We start from the raw sequence: 27,003 nt of genomic DNA on the forward strand, positions 1-27,003 counted from the left end.
ACACCAAACTAGGCAGCCAAAGCCTGGCTTCAGGTTTGTCACAGCTATCGGTTATGATAAACAATATTACCATCACTTCCTGGTTGTAGTCTGCATGAATTTGAAAACTAAAATTTGCAGTGTTCGGGAGTGGTGGCTCATGCCTGTAATCCCAGCACTTTGGGAGGCTGAGACAGGTGGATCACCTGAGATGAGGAGTTCGAGACCAGCCTGGCCAACATGGTGAAAACCCATCTCTACTAAAAATACAAAACTTAGCTGGGCGTGGTGGCGCACACCTGTAAACCCAGCTACTCGGGAGATTGAGTTGGGAGAATTGCTTGAACCCGGGAGGTGGAGGTTGTAGTGAGCCGAGATCGTGCCGCCATTACACTCCAGCCAGGGCAACAAGAACGAGACTCCGTTTTTTAAAAAAAAAAAAAAATTAAAATTAAATTTAAAAATTAAAATTAAATAAAATTTGCACTATTATGATTCAGTAAAGCAGGAATGTTATAATTGGTTGTTTTCTCCTTTTTTCCTCTGTAATACTATTTTTAGGAGGATCTAGGTAGATATCTCACTCTGATTATTCCCGAAGTATGAAGTCTCCCATACTGGCTATTTACATATAACTTAATTCATAAGACTTTTAAGAAATCTCTTTTTGCCTTCTCCTTATTCTCCAGACTGGCATTGTGAAGATGAGAGCCAACAAATTATACCTCAAAGTCTGGAAAATTAGTCAACTGTTCCACAGTTGTGCATGAAACATTTCTGACTTTGTGATTTGTGAAAGTAGCACTGACTCAGCTAAGGATCATGGAAAGAGCATAGACTTAGATCAGAAGACTCATTCTAGCTGGTAACTGTGTGATCGTGATCTGATCACTAAGACTCTGCGAGCCTTAGGAGTCTCCCCTTGCATGAAATGAAGTTGGTGAACTAGATGATCTTCGCATTATCTCCTAAGTTGTAAACTCAATGATTTTGAGTATAGGAATTAACAAAGCCACTTAAGGGGAAAAAAGTTCCCTTCATTTCTTGATGAAATACTTATTGAGCTATGTACCATATTCCATAGAAAGGAAAAACTAGATATCTTAACCCTACTAAGTTGTTTAGTGAAAAGAACATGAAAAGTTCAGATGAAAAGTCAAGAAGTCAACATAGGAAAAAACAGATAAACTAATAAACTGAATAAGTAAGTAATACAGCTTCAATTAAGTACTGGACTTCCAAATGGATGGAATCATACCTTTCAGGGCTAAATTGTATTTGAGAATACCTACTCTGAGGAATAGGTTTTTATGCTCTGGAATCAACACCTCAAAATTCAACATTTAATTCATTTCACTCTTCACTCATTACTCTTTTGTTTTTGAATATACACATTTTTCTTTTTTTTTTTTTTCCTTTTTTTACTATAAGATAAACCAAAAATAAATGGCTAGGTAGATGGCTGGAGTTTGCTTGTTTGTTTTAATGATAGTATAACTGCATATAGAAAAGCAATATATGTGTTCCTATATGAACAACCCAAAAGAAAAATAACTTTTAAGTCATAGAACTTTGAAGGTCTGCAAATAGTTGTTGACTTAGTTATTACTACGTGTATTAGTTTGCTAGGGCAGTTACAATAAATGCCATAGACTTGGTGGCTTAAGCTGGATAAATTAATTTCCTCAAAATTCTGGAGGCTAGAAGTCCAAAATCAAAGAGTCAGCAGGTTTGGTTTCTTCTGAGCCCTCTGTCCTTGGCCCTTCTCACTGTGCCCTAATGTGACTATCCCTCTGTCTCTATGCTCTGTGTACTAAGGACACCAGTCAGATTTAACTTAATTACTACTTTAAAGGCCCTATCTGTAAATACTGTTATATTCTGAGGTACTGCAGGTTAGGACTTCAACATATGTATTTGGGGAAGACACAGTTCAGCCCATAATACTGCATTTATCTTTATAATAAGGAAGAAGGATTTATATTATTCTACTGTTTTGTGTGCTGAATGTATTTTTAACTTTGGTTGTACAATTTCCCTTACACCTGCATCAGCTTATCACATTGTGCCAAGGATGTGAAATGAATTGCTTCAAAATACACCCTAATTAATTAAATATTCACAACATTTTTATAGCATTTGATTTTTTTCCTTGTTAAACATAACAGAGAATTGGATGTTGTTCACATACCACAGATAAGCCAATAAACCAGACATTTTGTCATACTCTGTATTGATAAGAATTTTTTTGGCATGGAAATGATGTATTTTATTGCCTTTAACTTCTAATACCCCCTTAATTACAAACATAATGGATGTTTTACTGGGGATATTGTATATGCAGCAGTTGTTTAAACCTGAAATAGAAATGCTAAGAGGGAAAAGTATTCAAGTCCAGTGTAGCCCAATGCTGAAAGATAAAATTGCAGCTTTTGACATTTTACCAAATTATTGATTGTGTTCTCTGGCTGGCTTTAAAAAACTTAATGCAGTGAGTAGGTTAAAAAAAAAAAAAAAAAAGAAGAAGAAGAAGAAAATGGCTGGGAAAGCATAAAGGCAAAACAGTTTTAAAAAAGTATGAGAAAGCTTAAGGCCTAACTCAAATGATAAGCAGTAGATTTTATGGCAATGGTGCCAGACAGCCGGGGTTTGTATCTTGACTCTTCCTACTTAATAACTCACTATCAGGCTTGATGTGATAATAAAATAATTCATGTAAAGCACTCAGCACATACCTGGTTTATACTAAACTCAACAATTTCTAGTTATATACATAGATAGACATACACTAGTACATGTGTATATATGTATATGTACCTTGTATATGTATGTGCATATATTAATATATGTATGTATGTATTCATATACATAATATGTATACATATTCACATTCATTTTCATATTCTCCAGCCTCCGTTTGGTACACTACAACAGTGTGTGTAGTTGAACTAACAGCTGGTTCTGCTGTCATGATGGCTAGAACAGCAAAGTCAGCCAGAGAAACCAGCCTCAAATGGTACATCTTTCTGTAAGCAGATATATATGATCTATAGCAGCACGTCCAGTGATTGCCTCACAGATACTACTTCTAACCTATGGGGGAATTTTTGCATAGAAATCCAAATCCCCTCCTACCTCTCCTCTCAGTGCTTGAGCAATCTCTTGATACATATAAAGCTTTGTAACTATCCTTAAGTTTTTCTCTGGTCTACATATGGCCTTTATGCTTAACTCATTGTTAAATTCTCACAGGACAAAGGCTACATACATTCCATATATAACTTCAGCAGCATCTGCTATAAGCTTTCCCATACCTTATACACTGAATAAATCATGAAGGCTGATGGAATCCTGAAATGAACCCATAATCCAATAAAATGAGAAAGGCTAAAGACCTAACCTGCTCTGGACTCACATTAGTCTAGAAGCTTCAGGAACTCACTGAAAGGCAAGATAGAATAATGGTTAGTATATGGACTACAGATTCAGGAATACCTACATTTGAATCCTGGCTTTGCAACTTATATAACTTGGGCAAATTATTTGACCTCTCTGTGCCTCATTTTCCTCATCTGTAAAATGATAATCAGATTATATGTTTCCCAAGGTTATGAAGAATAAGCTTATTCATATTTGTTATGTGCTTAGATTAGTTCCTGGTACAAAGTAAGTGATAGCACTTACTATAAGTGTGTACTACATAAATAAAATAAAATAATGCCTGGTGTCTCAACGCTGGCCCACAAACTAGTCTACTCTACACAGGTCTTCCAGACCAAGAGTGACTATAAACCTAATAGACATCTCTCAACAAGGCAGCTGTAGGTCTTTACTGTTCATGTTGGGTTTTGCCAGCAGACCAAGTGTTATGAATTGGCTTTAGCCAAGGGTTTCCTGAAGAGATTAAAAAAAAAAAAAAACAGGCTGGTGGAACATTTGGTATGTGTGTTTCTTTAGTGGTTTACAGTCTGTGTTTCTAGTGTCTGCATCATTAATATATTTCTCTTTCTGGATTTAGACCCTGTCATTACTCATCTGTGTCTGTTTTGACTTAAACCCATCACTGGAAGAAAGAAAGAATATGGGTCTCAATGAGTTCTATTGCTTCATTATGGTGATAACTTTAGTGCCCACAAGGAAATAGTTGCATACCCACTGGCTGCAAACTAGGTCTGCATTCTTCAGGAAAGATGTTATATGGCAGCCTTTAAGAAATGCAGTCTTCTTTTACCTTCAACTTTGTGTCTTATTTCACTCTACAGTTTTTAAGTGAAGGAGATAAGAAGAAAGAGCTAGCTGCAAAGGTGAGAGTTGAAATATTTTTACAGAGACATCATTATAATGAACATGATGGACTGTAGTTGTAAATAGGGTGAGTGGGAGAAAACTTGAAGAAAGTTAGAAACAGATGAAGAAAAGGATTTCAGATAAAAATCAGGGAAATCAATGTCAGTATGGGAAAAAAGATAGTAAGGTAGAAAAGGAACTTTTAAATGAAAAGAATGAGTAAAAGATGATTTTATACTGATTTTAAATAAAACTCTGTGTCAAAGCCTTTTGTAAATAATAAGGTTATAGATGATTGTCATGGTGGTTATGTTTGTTTAGCAAAGACTACATTAATGAAATGGCTAAGAAGCAAAATCTTACCAGGTTTTAAATATGAGTACACTGTGTCTATTGCTCTAATTTTTGTTACAAACTTACCCTAAAATAGGTCTTTTAGGCAACAACAGTAATAGCGCCAATCGCAGTTACTCTACCATTCTACCACAGACCGGGGAACATTCTCATGAGGACTCCAGCATTAGATGGCCCATTTTAGGGCACAACACTTCAGCCAAAACTTTGGTAGAGAAGCAGTTTCAGTGAGTCATTCATGATCCTAAATCTTTTGGCTGTGGCCTCAAGATCTCCCCTCTGTTCCCAGTGGGAATTATGGTAGAGAGACACAGTTAATTGCCTGTGGATTTTATGACTGTCCCCTTCCCTGCAGCCGGAATCATCATGGAATTAAACATGCAGGGAGGTTATCAAGGGACTCTCTCTTATGCGGACTGAGAAACTTAGGTTAGACCCTTTGAAGAATTCACTGGACTGAACATAGAGTCTCTACTGAGTAAAAGGATCTCCTCTGTTAAGTTGTTCATCATCCATTTATTTATTCATTCAATAAAAATGTATTGGGTGCTGTATGAGTTTCCTAGAGCTGCTGTAATATATTACCACGAACTGTGTGACTTAAAACAACAGAAATTTATTCTCTCACATTTCTGGAGGCTAGAAGTTTAAAATCAAGTTGTCAGCAGGCTTGATTTCTTCTGAGGGCGCTGAAGGAGAATCTGTTCCATGTCTCTCTCCTCTCTCCTATCTTCTGTTGGTTCCCAACAAACCTTGGCATTCCTTGCATTCCAATTTCTACCCCCATTGTCACATGGCCTTCTTACCTCTGTGTGCCCTCTGTGTCTCCAAATCTCTCTCCCCTAATGACACCAGTCACTGGATTAAACTTATTTCCAAATATGGCTACATTCATAGGTAACAGGGGTCAGGACTTCAACATGTATTTTCGGGGGACACAGTTCAACCCACAACAGGTACCTTTTTTGTACCAAATACAATCCTAAATGCTGGGGATAGAAAGATGAATAATACGCGGTCTCTGAACTCAAAAACGTCATTTAAATAGGGGTAGACATAAATATACAATTATAGTGTCACAAATATTAAATTATATGTCTCAACAAAATGCTATGGGAACACAGAAAAACAGGGCAACTAACATTGTCTCAGGAAGCCCAAAATGTTTCACTGTGAAGCTGCCTTTTGAGTTATAGGGTAAAGGATATTGGAGTTCATCGATTAATTCATAGTTGTGAGTATGCAAAGGGCATTGCAGAGGAATGGAAAAATATGTATAAAAACATGGTATCATGAAAAGACTTTGTATCTTTCAAGATAGGGAAGGAGTTGGTGTAACTGGAGTCTAGGGTTAGTTGTAGGGAGCGGCAGAATACATAGAAGAGAATAAACAGGAGATGGTAGACGGCAGAGGACCTGTACAATTTCATCTCAAAGAATTGGGGCTTTAGGCCAGGCACGGTGGCTCACACCTGTAATCCCAGCACTTTGGGAGGCCGAAGTGGGCAGATCACCTGAGGTCAGGAGTTCAAGACCAGCCTGGCCAACATGGTGAAACCCCATCTCTACCAAAAATACAAAAATTAGCTGGGTGTGGTGGCAGGTGCCTGTAATCCCAGCTACTCGGGAGGCTGAGGCAGGAGAATCACTTGAACCTGGGAGGCGGAGGTTGCAGTGAGCAGAGATCGTGCCACTGCACTCCAGTCTGGGCAACAAGAGCGAAAGAATTGGGGCTTTATAACATAGAATGTCTCTGCCAAGACTCTTGGGGATGTGTTTTAATCCTTAAAGTAACAATAAATGTATTTAAGTAGTAGTATAAAACGAAGTGAAACAGTAGTTAATAAAGCATCTTGCAAATTTGGAAAGGCCATTTTGATTTTGAGAAAATTATTTGAATTATAGAATAATTTTAAGGAAATGCTTTTTAATTTATTTTTAGGATGCATAGGAGCTCAAACTAAGTTAACAAGATTCAGTCATCCAAACCATTGCCTAGTAGGTGTCCTTAAGGACCCAGTCTTAATAAACAAATACAGCTAAATTATAATTGGCATATCAACTGTATGTAAATTGAAGCTTATAAAGTACTTGAGGGGATTTGACAAGTTTGTTCTCTTAAGCATTTTAAATATTACTCATGTTAGTTATACTATTTATTATCTATGGGGAAGGAGTTTGCTAAACCAAGGTAAATGTCAATGCTAGTTCCTAGACAACTATCATGAATTCTGAATTAGTCACTTTTTATTTATTCAACAAATATATATTACTTAACATCTACGAACGAGATTATGTCCTAAGTAGCAGGAATTCAAAGACATGACAAGGGCACATTCATGTCCTCTTATAACTCACAGTCTAGTTGGGGAGACCAAGATGGAAACAAAGAAACACATTAAAGTTTGTTGAGTTAGATAATGGTGGTGCATACAGGGTGCTTGGGTGAATGCAGTGGAAGACCCAACTCTTTGTTGAAGAAGGCTTTATATTTAGCTTGCGAACTTTGAAGGATAAAAAGTGGTTTTCCTAGAGGACAAAGAAACTGGACAGTGTAGTGAGGATCCAAGGGATCAGGCACAATGCTTTAAAAAGTTAGGAGAAATGAAGGCTAAGCCAAAGTCCCAGAACTGCAAAAAATTAAGTCCGTGTGGTTTTGGTTAGGATGAGAGGAGGCAAGGTAGGAGATGAGGCTGGGGGGTTGGCCAGCAGCCAGTAAGGGGTCTCATACAAAGGAGTTAGAACTTTTATATGATGTACGATCCACTGATTTAAGCAGAAGAGGGCCATGATGAAATTGGGTTTTAGAAAGAGACCTCTGGGAACAATTTGGAAGAAGAAATTAGAGCAGTGGTTTTCAAACATTTCTCTTTTTTTTTAACACAGAGAAAACTTTTCTAAAGAAAATCTTACATCTAACCAAGATAGATAAAATAAGAGTGATATTTCTTTCAAATAAATATTATGCAAATGAAAACAGGCTACTTCAAACTCAAAAGTGTCAAATTGGGGGTTATAGACTACAGCACCTGTGTTATATTAGACTCAGTATCAAAATTATATCTGTACACAGTTAGTTAGGAATTATGATGGTTCAACTATTTTTCAACTTTACAATGGTGTGAAAGCACTATGCATTCAAGTAGAAATTGTACATCTCTCATCATGCTGGGTAGCAACATTGAGGCTTAGCTCCCAATCAGCTACACATTTTCAGCTTCTGTTGGGTTTATCAGGGCGTAACCCCATTGTAAGTCAAGGAGCATCTGTATTTATTACCGTACTATATTGAGACAATTCTGATTTTCTGTAATAAGTTGTAAACAATAACGGTTCAAATGACTCTCCCTGTCATGTCATGAAACCCTTCAGTTGCATTGGTCTAGAAATATAAAACAGTCCGGGTCGGGCATGGTAGCTCATTCCTGTAATCCCAGCACTTTGGGAGGCCAAGGCAGGTGGATCATAAGGCCAAGAGATCAAGACCATCCTGGCCAACACGGTGAAACCCTGTCTCTACTAAAAACACAAAAATTAGCTGGGCGTGGTGGTGCGCGCCTGTAGACCCAGCTACTCGGGAGGCTGAGGCAGAAAAATCGCTTGAATCCAGGAGGCGGAGGTTACAGTGAGCTGAGATCATGCCACTGCGCTCCAGCCTGGCGACTGAGTGAGACTCCGTCTCAAAAAAAAAAAAAAAAAGTCTGATAGTGGGAAAAAATCCCTAACAAGAGTCACCACAACTCACAGTCTTTACTGTAAATATAGGCATTCAAAACTTTCTTAAAATGCTAAAAGCATTCATAGTGTAGTCTTACATGTCTATTTTATGTGTTCACTTTTCGTTTCTACGTACACGGTAGACATGGTAAATATCTGTTGAATTAAAATGATCAAAAACAAAGTAAAGATTTAACCAAAAAAATACAGACAATATAAAACCATGAAGATTCAAAGTCAAAAGTAGCTATAGTCTCTAGCAAGGCAGATGTTCACTGGCATTTGTCCTCTGGTCTGACTTCCAGCCCCAATTTATATAATCCTGACCTACCAGAAATTGGGATAGGTATCACTTCATGGAAAAAGACATCATGCTTTAAGAAAGAAGAGACACATATAAACTTGTATGGGGTTAGAGGAGCTATGTCCCTCTCTAGTTCCATTAGAAATTGCTGTTAAGAAGGGTTGGGAGCAAACCTCTTCCAATCCTACCCACGTCTCAAGGCCTAGATCAAATTTCACGGTCTCTGTGTGACACACTGATATCTCAACACTTCCTGAAGGTGACCCATATGCCAGGAACAGCACTAGATCCAGAGATACAAGTATTAAAAAGATCCCTGCCACCTCTCATCTACATTTCTAGCATCTGTTTTTACTCATTTGCCATTTGATCATTTCCCATCTGTATACAAGACTTTAAGGCCCATGAGAGCAAAGTTTCTGTAAGTTTAATTCAACCTACTTTTTTTGGCCACAAGCTTTGTGGCAGGCGCCATGTTAGGTATTAAGAAATACAAAGATATAGAATACAAGTCCTCCAGTAGCTTGCAGTATACCATGTATAAACCTCAGATGGCTACTACCGTATACCCCTCAACAGCCAGTTAGCTGTGAGAGTAAATTGTAAATTCTTTCATGCTCTGGCCAGATTTAAAAACATATTAATGTGTATATTCTTTTCCAACTGTGTCTTCTTTTTTTTTTAGATGGAGTTTCACTCTTGTCACCCAGGCTGGAGTGCAATGGCTCAGTCTCGGCTCACTGCAGCCTCTACCTCCTGGGTACAAGCTATTCTCCTGCCTCAGCCTCCTGAGTAGCTGGGATTACAGGCACCCGCTACCAGGCCCAGCTAGTTTTTGTATTTTTAGTAGAGACGAGGTTTCGCCATGTTGGCCAGGCTGGTCTTCAACTCCTGACCTCAGGTGATCCGCCTGCCTCGGCCTCCCAAAGTGCTGGGATTATAGGCGTGAGCCACCGTGCCCAGCCCAAATGTGTCATTTTAGATTTCACTTTCTTCTTGAGACCATGATGATGCCACATGAGAAATCCTTAAGTCCAGCTCCAATTATACTGCATATCCTAGAATGGACCATTACATTAACAAGAATTTTCATATGCTAACCATGACATGTACTTCATATCATGAATGTAGATGGCTAATTTTCACACATTACCATGCATTTCAGCATTCCCTAGAGTTATCTGAAGCATCTGGGGGGAAGGGGGAGAGAACCTTTAAGTTTTCTGCTTCTGAGACTATTTTGTTGTTATTGGATATCGCTTTGACCCCCTTCTTTTAGTGCTTATCACTAGGCATCTGCCGTATTTAATGATGTGTGTCATTTCATTTAGTATCACTGACTTGGATCAATTCCTCTTCCAGGTTTCTGTACTGTCTTGATACATGTATTTGTTTTGCTTTGAAAGAAAAATCAACAATTGAATTGCCAGTGATAGACATATGAGTAGGACCATTCTTAATGGATATGTAGAGATAATTTCTCTTCCTTTAATGTCTGTGAATTATCATCCACTGTGATGCATTTAAAAATGCAACTCAACAACAGTAGTCTACTGACAAACAGGTGACTGCTGCCTGTGATGTGTTTTCAGTTGTTGGCTTTTCTAAGTAGTTACTTGTCAGAGAGAAAGGAAAAAGGATGAAAATATCCATTTTGACACCTCTTGAAATGTGTTTGTTGACTGTCTCTCTTTTAAATCGCCCTGTACCTATTTGGCATCACTAATCACAATGCTAAGTGACTTTTTACTTTACTAGGCATTAAACTTGTGCTGCTTAACCTTTGAGCATCAAACAGGCCTTTCCCCAGCACCCTGCTGTATCTTTAGTACAAAACTCCTGAATCATTATCCATCTTGAGGATCTGCCTTGCCTTAGAGGTACTCTGACATTTGCTAAGACTTCCCATTGGACCTTGCAGACATTTCCAGATCATGACAGTGTCATTTGATATTTTGGTTTTAAACATCATCAGAGTGGCTTGTGCTGAAGAACCAGAACTAGAAAGAAAATGTAAAATGAAAAGAAGGCTATTGCCTCTGTGCTGATTGTTAAGATGGCATTGGAAACATTTTTGTTTTTACTATGGATATAGTCATAAAACCATGAATATTTTTCAAAGGATCACAGTATGAAATACAGAGCCAACGGTAGAATATATTAAATTAGCCCATTTGAAAGAGGGTCTATCTGTAAATAAACCTTGCAGTTAAGAAAGCCAATTATGATAAAACTGTATAGTTACCTGGTAAACTACTGTTTATAAACTACTTTAATTTTACAATATCTTATTTGAACCTTACAAGAAATGTGTGAACATAGTAAGGTAGGGTTACTCTCCTCATTTTGCAGGTGAGGAGACTGAGAATTAGAAAGGACATGTGATGGCCGGGCGCGGTGGCTCATGCCTGTAATCCCAGCACTTTGGTAGGCGGAGGCAGGCGGATCACCTGAGGTCAGGAGTTCAAGACCAGCCTGGCCAATATGGTGAAACCCCATCTCTACTAAAAATACAAAAAAAAAAAAAAATTAGCTGGGCATGGTGGCGTGCGCCTGTAGTCCCAGCTACTCGGGAGGCTGAGGCAGAAGAATCACTTGAACCTGGGAGGCGGAGGTTGCAGTGAACCGAGATCGCGCCACTGCATTCCAGCTGAGTCAAGATCCCGCCACTGCACTCCAGCCTGGGTGACAGAGCAAGACTCCCTCTCAAAAAAAAAATTAAGAAAGGCCATGTGACTTACTCCTAATTTCCTGGCTTGCATGAGGCTGAGCCAGAATTTGAGCCTAAAGCTTCTCTGAGTCCAAATTTGGTGTTCTCTCCACTATATCGTGCTGCTTCTACTTATGGGATTGGGAAATATTCGGGAATTTTAATTGACAAAAGTGAACTGTGTTCAGGACAGAACTTAAAACTAAGGTAGATATTAAGGGAACACCCTATAGTTCAATGGGTGTTTTTCTAGGCTATAGATGAGGAGAATGCCAAGGTTATTACCTACTCCAACACCACCACTTTGTGGTACAAATTAACAAAGATACCCCCCAAATCTATGTATGGTTGGCTTGCACAAATTAACTTTGTATTTGGCAAAAATAAAAAGCCCTCAGGATAATATTTCCCTTATGTAGTAAAATAGCTATAATAGAATTTCACAATCTTTGTTATTTTCTGTTGAAATGTCCACAGGAAAATTAGAATTCTGCTAATTGATTTTTTTTCTGTATTTATAATAAGCCCTCATACAATTGAAGCATATCTGAGAAAACTAGAAATCTATTTTATTTATCTTGTAATCTGAAAAGGGAGTGTTATAAAAATTAATAAGGTTTCCTAGAGTAGGAAATAAAAATTTTAAAAATGAAGTAATGATAAACATTAGGCTCTTTAAATATATACGAGGCATATAGAATTACAAATCAACCTGGAGAGACCAATTGGAGGGAATGATGACAATGAAAGTAGATGCATTTTAGGATGTTTGGCAGATTAATCCTTCAGTTTTATCCCTTCAGAGGTATGAGAGGTCAGTAGCATGTCTAAATGTAGGCTTATGTTATTTACTTTTCATCATCACTGTGAGGAAGGGTGAATTTTTTAATAAAAAGAAAAAAACTATCATAGCATGGAGCTTGCTTTTTTTAATTGGCAGATAATTTTACACTTAATATTTCTCTCTCAGCTCCATACGTTATCAGTTTAATTACTCTGAGGCCTCAATAAAAAAATTAAGGAAACTAAAGTAGGAGAGTTTGCAGTTTACACTCAGCTGTTCTGAGTTCACTGAAAGTGAAATGCCAAGCTGCCAGGGATCTACTGCATGAAGCTCTCGTGAGGCTCCTGAGTGGGCCGAGAAGTGGCAGATGAGCTTCGTGTGGATACGGTAAAGCATTTAGTGAAAAATGAAAGTGAAAGAAGCTAGGCTGCATTCACAGGCTGGCAGGCTTTGCCTTCTCAGTTTCAAACTTGAAAAAGGGATCTAGGAGTGACTGGTAACCATTCTGTGAAAAAAAAAAAATTAGCTCAGGAAGGTGTTGTAATCACAATGGTCCACACTCTGCAGATCAGTCTCAGGAAAGAGATTGGCATCCTAACAGAAGACATTCTACTTCCTTAGTACAAGATTAGGGTCCTCCAGACAGGATGAATTATTGCAAGTAATTCTGATTGCTGCTTCTGTTTAAAAACAGGCTGCTGCATCAGGCTAGAGAAGGCCCTTTGTAATGAAGTAAAAATGGGTGAAAATTCCCTGTTATGAAAGACCAAAACAATTAGTGCTCTTCTCTTGGAAAATATAATAGTTGAGTGAGAAGCTTCAAAGAGCTGCCTGGCCCTTCCACTCCTTTTGCCATGTGAGGACACAATGTTCATCCATTCTACAGTGTAAGGATGCAGAGGCTATGCTCAGTGTTTTTGAAATCAAGAAATCATAAACATTTGGATAGGATAAATGCAAACCTATTTACCAAACCCAAGCATGTTGAAACCTTAATCTGTTCAGGCTGCTCTACCTGAGACTGGGTAATTTGTAAACGACAGAAATTTATTGCTTACATTTCTAGAGGCTGGGAAGTCCAGGATCAAGGTGCTGTCAGATTTAATGTCTGATGAGTGTTTGCTCTCTGCTTCCAAGATGACACTTCTTGCTGTATCCTCACATTGTGAAATGGACAAACGCTGTGTTCTCGCATAGCAGAAGGAGTAGAAGGGCCAGGGAGCTCTCTAAGGCCTCTTTTGTAAGGGCATTAATCCCATTCATGAGGATAGAACCCTTATGACTTAATCACTTCTCCAAAGGTCCCACCTCTTAATACAGCTACAGTAAGAATTAAGTTTCAACATAAATTTTAGAGGACTACAAACACTCAAACCATAGTAAAGGGTATCTTTGAAGCATTGCAGAAACAAATGGGGAAAGGGAAGTACCATACATGACTCACAGAACAACTTATCCTGGAAGTTCTAAAGAAATAGCATGTTTAAAAAGTGAAGTGATTCAGGTCAACTCATGCACTATAGATACATGGTTGCTTTGTAAGAGAAACCAAGGAGGAAAAGCCATCCTTTCTACAAAGCATCCCTTGGTGACTCCCACCAAAAATAGAATCACAAGGCTAAATTGATCATGAATTTGGTATTCTTCATGGCTTTAGTTTTAAAAATATTTTTAAAGTATTAAAAGGATTAGTATTGAAGATAGTAATACTGGTAATGGTTTGCAAAGCTTCTTGTTCTTGTCCTACTTTGGACTCCACCTGCATTTACACAAAGTACCTTCCTGTCAAAGTCATGGACCTAGAAATCCAGGCTTAGTGCTTGTGGATGCCATCTGGTATGGGGGTCAGCTTACGGACTTTGAAACTCCACAGATGTCCACCACTTATTAACTACATGATCTTATGCAAGCTTTTTAATTTCTTGGAGGCTTACTCTTCTCATTTGTAAAATGGTTTTATAATACCTATCATACGGGATCCTTTTAAGAATGATTGACGCAATATATGCAAGTCACTTAACACAGTGCATGGTATCCACTAAATGCTAAGTAAACAGCAGCTCTTACTATTGTTGTGAGCTAAGTGAGCTATTTATACAACCCTGGATTCAAAAAGTTGTAATAAATATGGTGGATAAGGTGAGCCCACATTTTCCTAATAAAACTTTAAAAAAGTTTTATGACCATTTTGAGTGTAGCTGGACTTTTAGAAATGTAGACGAAACAGTGAAATGTGTAGTTATGAAATTTAATTTGTTTAGTTATACAGATATATTCAAATTGTAGATGATGCAGAATAATCTCTTCAGGTATGATACTTTGCTTTTCCTCCCCACTATCTCATTTTGTAAAACAATTCTATTGAAACTTCACGCGTATCTCTGACATTGGTGTTTCTAGAAGCACTGGAGCTAATTTTTGTGTCATCTAACAGTTTTCCAGAGCATATTACATTCATGTCCACCTAAGTTTTTAGAGATACAACACTTTAATCTGTGTATCAGAGTATCAATGTCAGGCTTTTTCCGCAAGCCACAAATACTCATTTGCATACCACTAGGTCCATTGGCTTTTCCATTCATCTTGCATGTGTATATTGGTGATCTTCGTTAGGTATTTACTGCAGGGAAATCTTAAGTAATCTTTCAAAGGCTTGTTTACAATGATCTCCAACACTTAGTACTATGACGTCACACCCTGTAAACAATTAATAGGTCTGTGTTAAATTTCATTATCTTAACTGCCTTCCCCAATTTTGTACGTTTACATCATAAGCATCTAAAACCCATATTAAGTTGTTCCAGACTAATGCGTGTTTTCCAGAGAGTACATTATTAAGAATAATTTGGAAAATGTCCCTTGGAATTAAGCACTTGAATGTAAGACATCTTCCTCTTTTTTTCTGCGAGATAACTTGTAGGGAGCAACGGGAAGGTATGCTTTATATTTGTGAGGATAGGAATAGAGATTTTCTTGAAATATTTATCCAATTATATGACTTTAAAATCATGCAAGTTTCTTATTTTTATTCATCGTATATATGTATTAAATGCCAGGATGATCCAAACACATAGAAGGTGAAGTTCCTGCCATTATAGGAATTTTTGGACCTTAGAGAATATCCAATTCCAGAACAATGCATGGAATACTTTGTGGAAAGCATTTGCAGAGAGAAAGCTGTGAGTTGCAGCCCTTGTCCTCAACAACTGACAGCAAATTTGTCAACAAATTTAATTATGTTTATATCAGGCAGAATGTGTTTGAAGGGCCTGCACACGTTTCACATAGGGAAAAGAAAGAGGTGAAGAGAGAAATGTTACATGTAAAAAATTTTACATAGTAAATCATCACATGGAAAAACACATTTTTCACTGGCAAGTAAAGAAATACAACAACAAAGTAACAGGTAGCGACATATATGTATTGTGATGGCTAAGCACTAAGTGAGGTGTTGGAGAAGCTGTAGAGAAACAGGTACAATTTCAAGGTGGTGCCGTTAGGTGACAATTCATGGAAATGTATACATAAAACAATGTTAAGTGAAAGAATTAGATCACAAAAGAGTATATAAACGCTGATTATATCTATAATAATGTGTGTATGTTGACATCTATTGAAAGAGGATTTGAAAGAATGTAAGTTTAATGTTGATTTGAATTTTCTCTCTGTAACAGTGATTTAAATGCATACTAATTTGAAAAGAATACAATGAAAAATGACTCCCCATCACACCCCTAAAACACATAATAACTACACACATCTTGGTAAATAGATTGTGGTAGAATATGATGTTCATTGTTTGTGATGTTGCAACATTATCTATAAATCAAGGACTTAATTGAAGTTGTACTTCCCTTCTTTATCTACTGTAAGTCTGATGAAGCATTTTTTGATCACTGTTTATTATAGTAATGAGAAAAGAATAAATCTTTTCCTTATAAATCCTGACAATCTGCATTTTAAATCCTTGCACAACCTGAATTCTTTGTCTCCACTAAATGAATACAGAAAGTTTAAGCCTGTGATTGCCTTATTTATTCTGCCTCCCTACCTTTCAATAGCTACTCAATAGCTCTTTCTTGACCTTTACCTGTCAGTTAATAGTTGGTACATTGAGATGTGTTTATTAAGTCCAGGCAGCTAAGATTCAGATTTATATGCAGCTAATATGCTGAATGAACTGAAGATCTACTATGTACCACAGATCTTTGCCTGGTACTCTACAAAGGGGACTTCACTTGATCTTGGTAGTAACCATCTGAAGTCTGAACTATTATCCCTATTCTGATGTGACAAAACTAAGCATCAGTTCAGCAGGCAGTCCTCTTCCGAGCCCAGGACAGTGGTCCTTCCCTTGTTCCATTGTGCCTTTTAAGTGGCTAGTCTCAGTGTGTTATAGAGAATAGTATAGTTTTAAACATATAAAATAAATTTGTAGGAAGCAGCATATTTTTAAGGAAGATCTTTTTAAAAAGACAAGTGTGTTGCTTTTTTCCTCATTTAAAAAACTGTATATTGTTGCTATAAAATTTATTTATAAGAGTGGTTGGAGGGAGGCCGAGGTGGGCAGATCACCTGAGGTTGGGAGTTCGAGACAAGCGTGACCAACATGGTGAAACCCCATCTCTACTAAAAAGTACAAAAATTAGCCGGGCATGGTGGTGCGTGCCTGTAATCCCAGCTACTCAGGAGGCTGAGGCAGGAGAATCGCTTGAACCTGGGAGGCGGAGGTTGCAATGAGTGGAGATTGCGCCATTGCATGCCAGCCTGGGCGACAGAACGAGACTCCATCTCAAAAAAAAAAAAAAAAAAAAAAAAGAGTGGTTGGAAATTTTGATACAAAGCAATTCAAAATTATACAAACAATTTGAGTAGAATCCAAACATGAAGCAAGATTTTCTACTACTTTAATAATTTCAATTAAATAAAAGTTAGGAGCTGATAAAACCGTTTGAGGGTTTATTTAAAGGGGAGCATGTTATTGGCATGCTGACCAATAACACTGGGAATGTAATGTATCATGACATGTCAGATAACACAAACAAGGACAGTTTTTGGAAAATCATAAATAACAAAATAGAAGGAGTGTAAAATGGAAGAAGCATCAAGGGGTGGTTGGTACAATAAGATATTAACTCTGAGAAAGTTTTCTAACTCATCACTTAACATTATGAATACTGAATTGGGATGACCACAATACTAGCTTCTGTATGACTCCTTAAATATTGATATTGGAAATGTGCACCACATGATAACCAATATTTTAAGGTGGGGGCAAAATAGCTGCTGGTATGAATCTCTAGAAAGATTAACTTGAAAACTGTCTTGTGTAACAAAAGGAAAGGAGAACATCTGGGAGGAGAAAGGAAATTTCCTAGAAATGGGAAATGTGGCCATAATGTGATTTCTTTCTATAACCCATGTATGCAAAAACATTTATCTCCTTTTACTCTAGTCACACTATGTTTGTGGCTTGCATGAGTAAGAAAGCTAGATGAGGAGATAATTGTTCAGCAAAAGAATTATAGAGTTGAAATCAGTGAAGTGAATGGTATTTTATAGCAAAGAGATCCCTAAAAGTAGGTGGCATAAAGAATAGATGCAAAAAAGTATTGCTTTCTCTTCGAGTTCTAAAGACCTCTGTTGATGACGTTTTGCTCATTTAAATTCCAGAGAATAATTGGAAACAGAGACTTTATGCGACAGAGCTTTCATTTAACTTGTTCACCTGACAGTTGGCTTTGAATGATATTTTATTACCAATCAACCTAAATTAAAATACCCAGCTCACTGTAAAACCCTGCAGACAGTGTCTGGAATGCTAAAACACATACCATATATAAATAAAATTAAGGTAAGGACAAAGATTGACAAAAGCAATGACAGTGAACATTAACATGATATCAGCAGCTTTGAGCTTCTATCAACAATGTGGACCATGATGAAGTTACCAGAGAGGGCAGTATAGATGGATTTTCTAACTTGCATTTATCAGAAGAGATTTTCACTTTTCAATCTTAACTATGTCTTATACCTTTTAATAAAGATGTGGTATCAAACATCGAACATATATGTCTGTACCTACATGTAAATATATATGCATGTGTGTATATGCATAGCCATAGCTATCCATCCATCCATCCCAAAGTTCATCTCTCCAAGGTGCTAGTCCACATAATTGCGTTCAGTTCTTCTCTGGTCTTTGTATAAATGTGTACTTAAGGACTTTGTGGATAGTGCGTGATATAAATATGGTTCAGGCCCATCAAAATGCAGATTATAGGATCCGGTGAACTTTTCCTTACCAAATAACTGAATTCCTGAATGTTGTATTATTATAAAATTACAAAAGTTTCAAACTTACTGCTATTCTCTAATTACTTCTATAGAGTGATTATTATATGGGATCACCAGATGATCATGGTCTGTCATGCTATTGCTATCTTTCTTCATAAATATATAATTTATCAAAGCTTAATTATATTATTATCCAATAAATGAATGATAGAATAATTATGGTTATGTGGTTCATTACGTTATGTCCCATTCTCTGACTGAAGCCTCTCAGTTTCATATCTTTGTTGTGTAGACTATTTATGACAAGTTAAATCTGTTCTCTGGAACTTAGTGTCATCGTCTATTAAAATGAAGGGTTGGATTTCAATTAAATAATTCATAAATTTCCTGTCAGCTCTAAAATTCTATGTTCCATTGATTATCCTCAAACTATTATACAAGTTCATAAGGCCTTCTAATATATATATATATATATATATATATATATATATATATATATATATATTAGAAGATAGATAGATAGATAGATAGATAGATAGATAGATATACTAGAAGGCCTTATGATTAGAAGGCCATATGTGTATATGTATATATACACACACACACATATATATATGTATGTATAGTGTTCAGTTCTTCTCTGGTCTTTGTATAAATATGTTTTATATATATATTTTAAAACACTATATTAATGTGCATGAATTGAGAACTGCTGTGGTATCTAAACTCCTTTCTGCTTGACTCTATGATGAGAGATGAATGAATTTGGAAATATTTAGTCCAAGAAAAGAAAAAGTGTGGGGATAATCAGTCTTCAGGTTTATGATGAATTGTGACTAGCTTTCACTCTCTTGTAAATGATAGACAAAGAGAGAACAAACTGTACCAAATCTCAGAATGCATAATGTGATAGTGCATTAAAAAATGCTGTAGAAGCTGGAGATACTTAGGGAAGGTAGTCATTTGATGCAAAATATCAGTTAATCTCCTCTCTAGTGTGCTTTAAAGCCAGGGAATCTAAAATGGGGGAAGCCAAGGAGGAGTAGAGTTGTTTCTCACTGTTCAACAGGAAGGCACTTTATGTATTTTCTTATATATTAATTATTTCTGAGCTATTTCTCCTAAGAGAAAACCCTTAGATTTGGCCTACAGAAGATGTACTTATCATTGGCCTTTAATGATACAGACATTGCCATTGCTACCAAAGTTAGTTTATATGTACAAGGTTATATTTAATTAGCTTATGTAGATCAAAATGCAAGGACAGAACCTAATCCCTCCTCTTCCTCTGTACTAATCAATTTATAATCTGAATGTGTCAGAATTCAGATTATGAATTATGTTGTATCTATTAATCCTTGTAACCACAGCACATTTTATAAAAATATACATACTTTGATTCTAAATGATAATATAGTGCACGTTCAAAACCGAGTAAGTCACAGTTGGTGGGCACAGAGACATTGGTAATAATGGGATCCTCCAGCTAGCACCAAGTCTCTGTTTTTTCTTTAATGTTATATGATGAAGGTAATAATAGGTGGCCAGTAAGGATAAAAAGCCACCCAAGAAAGAACCAGTCTTAAACTTGGCTCTTTTGCTTTTTTCAAGTTTTCTCATAATATATTCAATTCCATGTAAATATTGCAAACAGCTGAATTGCACACATTAACCTAAACATGAATAAAAAATGTTGATATTTTATTTAACCTAAAAATAGTAGTTATGGATAGGCTGCTTTTATGATTATCGTCTTTAAAATATATCATTTTACATTGGGAATATAGGGAGGATTGTCACCGTTATTGTATAATAAGAAAATTTGTTTTGAGTACATTAAAAATACAGTAGATGATTATTGCAATATAAGGGGAAAAGTTGTTTGCTTTTGACAGTCTGTCAGATGTAGCCTAGGAAGACAAGTATGGTAGCTGCTTTATATAAAACAGTAGGAGAAGGACACAAGCTCAAAGAAATTTTACCTAGCTGCTGTTATTAAAGAAATTCTTTTATAGAATAGAGGCTGGTTTTTTTTTTCATCTTTCCGTTTTTGCTTCCATCTCTGAATCCTTTGCTTTCATATGGCATGCAAAGCGTCTGTGCATGGCAGCCTGTAACTTCTGTTATTTAAACTGCCAACTGTTAAAATGGATTGAGTTGAACCAGAGGAGGAAAATAGCCCCACTGAGGCAAATGCATTTTTACACCCTTCTTTAATAAAATATTGTAAGGTATAGCTAGAAAGTTTCCCCTTGGACTTTCATCTAAAACTGTTAGATTGTAGCTTTGTGAAAGAATCATTGTTGACTCCTGTCAGACAGTTTTGGAGAGGAGGTGAAGAGGCTTGTCTTCTGACTTTCTGTGCACTTTGTCAAATCAGGTACTTTGAGCAGAAGTACGAAGTGAAGGCTGATGTCAGAGAATGCCTTGAAGCAGGAACTTGTGCTAGTCTCCTGTGACTTCCTTTTTTTTTTTTTTTAAGGAATCAGATTGGATTGTAAAATGATGGGAATATGACTGGACATAAACACGTTCATTGCAGGCTCAGCAGCCGTTACATATCATTAGTGAAGGGAGGCAAGGGGCAAGGGGGACCATTTTGATGTCAGTTTCATTCTTTTTAAAGACAAATGCATTCACTGATGAGAAGTAAACCAGCATCTGTAAAATTTTACAGACAAGTAATATTTTAATGCCTTCTTTTCCTGTAGATAAACGTATAACTTTTCAATAATCATTAATATAAACTGAAATAATGAGTAATTGTGTTAAATACCCATAATGTTGGAGCTGCTTTTAAGGAAACCAGTTATGAAGCAACTGTAACATCAAGATCAGTATATTTCTGTTCCAAAATAGTCTGTTTCATAGACTCAGTACATAGCTTGCTGTTATGCCACTTCGGCCACAGTTAATGCCAAAATCTAAAATTTTAAAGGTGATAATGCTTTTTAATAAGAAATATAATTTGGCCTTAACTTTCCCCTTATAAAAGGCCATATTCCATACACATCAACTCAAAAGTTTGTCCCATTTTCTGACTTTTCTTTTTCTTTATTTGCCAAAGAATCTCTGTAATTGGCTTGCTCTGCAAAGCATTTTATTTGCCCTTCTGAACATTAACTATTTTAAAGATCCGAGTGTATTATGGCAGGGAACACAAGATTTTACTTCAACCCCTTCTATGCCCTCCTCTCTACTAAATTAATTATTTCTGTTTTGAGTGTTCCAGGGAAAGAGTAAAATTGTTAAGGTATAACAGGTACCAACGAGTCATCCAAACAGAAGTGCCATTCCAGGAAAGTACAGTATCTGTGTGCCCAGCATGGATCTTGGCCCTGCCCTACTTTTAAGCTTCTAACATATCTTCGTAGTCATTTCTTCTGTATTGTGATTTTTTTTTAAGTGAGCACTTTTAGATGTCCCATATGGTTTAAACCAAATCAGAAATTCATGTCCTTAATGTTTCGTTAGTCAGAATAATTAAGTTGATAGTTCGGGGAGCAGTTGAAGCAAAATAATGGGGTCATTGAAGCAGTCAAGCTCTAATGGGAACCTGAGCTCATTCAGATACCAAATCTAATAATTGTTCTACACCTGTATGCCCAGTCCCATTGAGCAAATTCACATTAAAGGTTTAGTGGAACAGTTTCAATGCTGTGGTCCAAAGGGACTTGCTACTGTTTTCACAAGAAAGCACTGAATATTTTTTGGCAATATATATATATATTTTTTGTGATGTGTTAACTAAGCTCTGTGCATGTATGTTGGTGCCCTATCCCTACCTAGAGAGGAAGAAAAGGGAGAGATGTATTTTCAGGAATGTTTTTCTTACCATTTAGGGTTAATAAAGATACTCTCAAGCATTTGCCACCTGGAAGCAATAATATGAGATGATTAAACTCACTGGATAGTTTGGGGAGAGGGGGAGTTTGGTTAATCTATGCAACCAACTAGAAATGAAGTTCACTTAACCCTTTTTCTTCATAAAATAAAATGGTATCAAGGTATCAAGCATGTTTTTTTGGGGTTTTTTTGTTTTTTTTTTTGTTTTTTTTTGAGGTGGAGTTTCACTCTTATTGCCCAGGCTGGAGTGCAATGGTGCGATCTTGGCTCACTGCAACCTCTGCCTCCTGGGTTCAAGCGATTCTCCAGCCTCAGCCTCCCAAGTAGATGGGATTATAGGTGACCGCCACCACACCCTGCTACTTTCTGTATTTTCAGTACAGACAGGGTTTCACCATGTTGGCCAGGCTGGTCTCGAACTCCTGACCTCAGGTGATCCACCCACCTCGGCCTCCCAAAGTGCTGGAATTACAGGCATGAGCCACCGTGCCCGGCCATCAAGCATGATTTTGGTTATTGAAGTAGAAAGTAGCAATTAAGCATTGTGTAGTAATGCACTGTTTCATTTCTCCTGTGTCACTATATGACTGTAACAACAAACTGACTGCCTTTGATTCTCCTGTAAGATATCTAAAGAGAGTTGACAAACCTAAAAAAATTAAAGGTCTAAAGAGTGGAACTATGAATTTAATTCTGCCGTAAACTGACCATTGAACTGACCTATCTCCAATAGAACTCCCTCATTGGAGGATTCAAAGCACACAGGAAAATTAAACGATTTGCAATTTACCTTTAACAACTATGAAATACAGATCTGACCAGCTTTCTTTATCAAAAAAGGCAATCAAAGCTGAATTCACTTACCTAAAGAATAGTTCTAATACACATGAAGGTATTCATTCAAATGACTCTTGTGCTCTAATATTTTTATTTCCTTTGGGGAATTCAAAAATCATTTACCAAATGTCTCTTATATTACAGGTACCAAAAAAAAAAAGATTTAAATTGCAGTTGCTGCCTTTCCAGAGCTCACGATAAAATGGGGGAAGATAGATCGCACAGGGACAATCACAGTATAAAGCTCAAGCTGAATCTTAACAGATGAGTAGGAGTTTCTTGGGTAGGAAAAGAAAAAGGAAGAGAAGCATGATCCAAGAAAGGGAACAGCATTTATGGAGGCAATAGGAGAACACAGTATATTCAAGGAAGAGCCAACTGTTAACATTGCTGGAACATAGGTATGAGAGGCTGGAAAGATGAATAGTCATGATAGGCCATGTATAATTAGTTCGATTATTTTACTACATGGGTGATAAGGAGCCATTTCAGGCTTAGACTTATGGTAGCATGGCTAGATATACATTGTAGAATGATTATCTTCTAACGATATAGAAGGCTGATAGGGTAAGGGTGAGGCTAGAGACAGGAGAAATTCAATAGGGATCTATTATAAGAGCCTAAGCAACAGAAGCATAAGGCCTGCACTAGAGCAGTGACAGTGGAGATAATGCAGAATAAATAGATGCAAAAATGATTCAGGGGTTAGAATTGACTGAACTTATTGAGCAACTGGATATGAGGATAAAAAAGGGAAGGATTCTCGGATGATTTATTGATTTATTTTATGATTGCTATATGATAGCTGTAGTAATTTTATTAGGGCTGCTGTGACAAAGCACCACAAACTGAGTGGCTTAAGCCACAGAAATGTATTGTCTCATAGTTCTAGAGGCTACAAATCCAAGATCAATGAATGGGTTGGCTGTGCCACGCTCCCTGTGAAGGTGTTAGGGAAGGATATGGCCCAGGCCTCTCTCCTAGCTCCTGGTGGTTTTCTGGCAATCTTTGGCATTCTTTGGCTGGTAGAAGCATCACGTTGATCTCTGCTTTCATTTTCACATGGCATCCTCTCTTGGTGTGTGTTTGTCTCCAAATGTTTCCTTTTTCTAGGGACACTAGTCATAAGGGATTAGAGCCCACCCCAATGACTTCATTTTAACTTGGTTACCTCCATAAAGACCCTATCTCCAAATAAGGTTACCTCATTCTGCTGTACTGGAGCTTCAGAGATCCAATATATGAATTAAGGGGGACACAATTTAACTTATAAGATGGCTCTAATCATCAAAGTTAGGATATATAAAAAGGAGGGAATAGGATGAAAGGAAATGAAATCAGTTTAATTTGGATCTGCAGTGTGAGGTAGCTTTGGAACAATCAGGAGAAATATTGAGAAGGTGATTGAAGCTGTAGCTTAGAGCCTGAGAAATGCAGAGTTGAGATCCATTAGCATGCAGGAGATAGAATAGTTAGAGCAGTTAAGTTTGGCAATTGGATGAGCATACCCCTGGGAAGTAGCTCATGGAAAGTATAGAGTTAAAATATGGGAAAGGGCAAAGAATAAAGTGCTGAAAATTACTAACACGTTGTGACCAAACCAAACTGTGTCTGTCTGCACACAAGCAATGGAAAGCCAAACACCAAAGCACTGTGTTTTTGCAGTGAGAAAGTTTATTGCCAGGCAGCCAAGCAAGGCGATAGGAGTCAGGTTCAAAGCTGTCTCCCATACTAGCCTTGCAGCCATGGATGGATTTAAGGGAGAGATTTTGAGGCTGGGATCTGGGGGCTGGACAGTGATTGACTGTAAGGAAAAGGGGGTTGGAAATTCCCTTGGGCATGAGCTATTGACCATGCACGCTTCTTCATGGGTCTTATGTTCAGAAAATGATCTGAGGGTGGAGATTTTGGCCCTCTGACATCAAAAGGTCACTCACCAGGCAAGCAAGTCTATTCTGTGCAGACTGCAGTCAGACACATTAATGGGTTCCAACTTGTCCCAGACTGTAAGCCAGTTTTGTTGCAAACTAAGGGAATTGTAACAAAGTGTTTTGTTCTCTGTTCTCCTGCAAGACAAGCTCAAGAAATTTTGCTACTTACCAAATTCTCAAGGAAAAGGATAGTAGCATAGAAACAGAGAAAGATTAAAGAAATAATTTGAGAATGAAGAAAGAATAATAATATACAAGCTAAAAGAAAAGAGAGTTTCATGGAAAGAATAATTGTCAACAGTGTCATGTGCTACAGAGAGGTCAAGGAAAATGAAGACTGAAAGAAAAAAATGTTAATACTGACTGCAGAATGTGATATTGATTCAGGATAGGCCAATTCATAAACAAAGTAATCATGGAACATACCCTGTATTTTCAATAGAATTTCACTCTACTTGTTACTAGAGAAAAGAATGAATTTATTTATATAGTATAAAATTTTTATACTTATAAAAATTATATTTTTTCTAGATCATGTAGTTTTTCTAATCCATAAGAAAGTCATATCTCCTATTTTACTGTCTTTCAAAAGGTAGTTAAATAATCCTGACAAAGGGAATCGTTTAGAAACAATACATACAAATTCTGCCTTGGTCTTGAAATTTTGATATTTATGGTTATGGTATTTTGCGACTAATGTTCAGAATAGGATAAAATAGGGCATCTCAGAATAAGATTATAATGTGGTTGGTCAGAAGAAAGTCTTCTAAGGAAGTATCTTTCACTTCAAGTCATTGTCTGTTTTTTATGTAGTTAATGCTGGAGCTCTCAGGGCTGCTAAATGTCATTTTATGTACTACTTCACAATCTAACCATACATATTAACCTTTTCCTTCAACACCCCTAAGAACAGAAAGCTGTCTCTAGAACCAGCTTTAAAGATTCACAGTTAGACCCAGAGTAAAAGAACAGATTGAAAAGATAGTTTGTAAACTATTTATTGTCCTGCACGAATATGTATATATGGGAACAAATGACATATTTCTATGTCTATAAATCCTTGTAAAAGTTTTATTCAGAGAAAGAATCAGCATGTATTTACTACATGGCTATTTAATATCGAGAAAGCTAATAAAGAGGTAGAAGAGGCTCATTCTCTGCCATCCCAGAACTCTCCTCTTAGAAAGGCAATATCTGAAATGATAGTGAGCAGTACGAAATTGGCTATAATTGAAAGCTGAATTGTGTGAAACAAGCTAAGTTTGTGCTATTGGAGTCGAGAGGAGAGAAAGATCAGCGAAGGCTAGAGGGATCGGGAAGGTGGGATTTGAGTTGGGCTTTGAAGGATAAGTAGTCTTGAATGGAGGGGAAGGAGAAGGCAAAGTGGGTACATAAGCACAAATCTGGAAGATATATAGATGTGTTTGTGGAACAGTTGTGAAGCCAACCTAACTAGATTCAAGGGGGAATAGTAGAGAATGGGAGAAAATCTGATTGGATAGAGTGGGATCTGTGTAAAAACAAACAATTTTTAAAAACCCAGAAAATATGTACTCCATGAATCTCTCCTGTACTTTTTTAGCTGCCACAAATTTTGGGGCCAAATTTATTACACATGTATTCTAATCTGCCGAAGCTACATCCTTTAGTGTGAATCTGTTCACTTTTATCTTCATATGTCTTCTCTTGCAGTGAATTTTAATCTGAGTCCCTGAAAGTTAACTTGTTACCATTTTTATTGTTGTTTTTGTCTTTTCTTCACCACTTCAAATTAGGATTGAACCAGATTAGTCTTGTTTTAAATCCACTGCAGCCTTTTGAGCTGGGGAGTACGGTCTCTTTGAGAAAACTGTTTTCTTTCTTTTTTTTTTTTTTTTTAGAACTAAGCATTTGTTGCAGTTTATTGGCACTGCATATTTTTATTTTTATTTATTTTTATTTATTTTTATTATTATAC

The 27,003-nt window shown here is 36.9% G+C and overlaps 1 protein-coding gene and 1 long non-coding RNA gene across 2 annotated transcripts in view, besides 1 other annotated feature; one reads left to right on the plus strand and one right to left on the minus strand.

The window, feature by feature from the left end:
• The window catches only part of DIAPH2-AS1 (DIAPH2 antisense RNA 1), a 36,172-nt gene extending 22,823 nt beyond the window's left edge, over positions 1-13,349 (minus strand). Inside the window, exon 1 of the long non-coding RNA NR_125391.1 lies at positions 13,194-13,349. This is a non-coding gene — a long non-coding RNA (DIAPH2 antisense RNA 1). The remainder of the gene's footprint in view (positions 1-13,193) is intronic.
• The window catches only part of DIAPH2 (diaphanous related formin 2), a 920,156-nt gene that overhangs the window by 866,345 nt on the left and 26,808 nt on the right, over positions 1-27,003 (plus strand). The window lies entirely within an intron of this gene.
• Positions 12,371-12,660: an enhancer, noted in NCBI's record as "active region_29800". NCBI's record gives its function as "activates an Ori minimal core promoter by ATAC-STARR-seq in GM12878 lymphoblastoid cells {active_cell/tissue: GM12878}" and the evidence as "EXISTENCE:reporter gene assay evidence [ECO:0000049][PMID:35858748]".

The sequence above is a fragment of the Homo sapiens genome, chromosome X, assembly GCF_000001405.40.
Source record: "Homo sapiens chromosome X, GRCh38.p14 Primary Assembly".
Classification (NCBI taxonomy): Eukaryota; Metazoa; Chordata; class Mammalia; order Primates; family Hominidae; genus Homo; species Homo sapiens.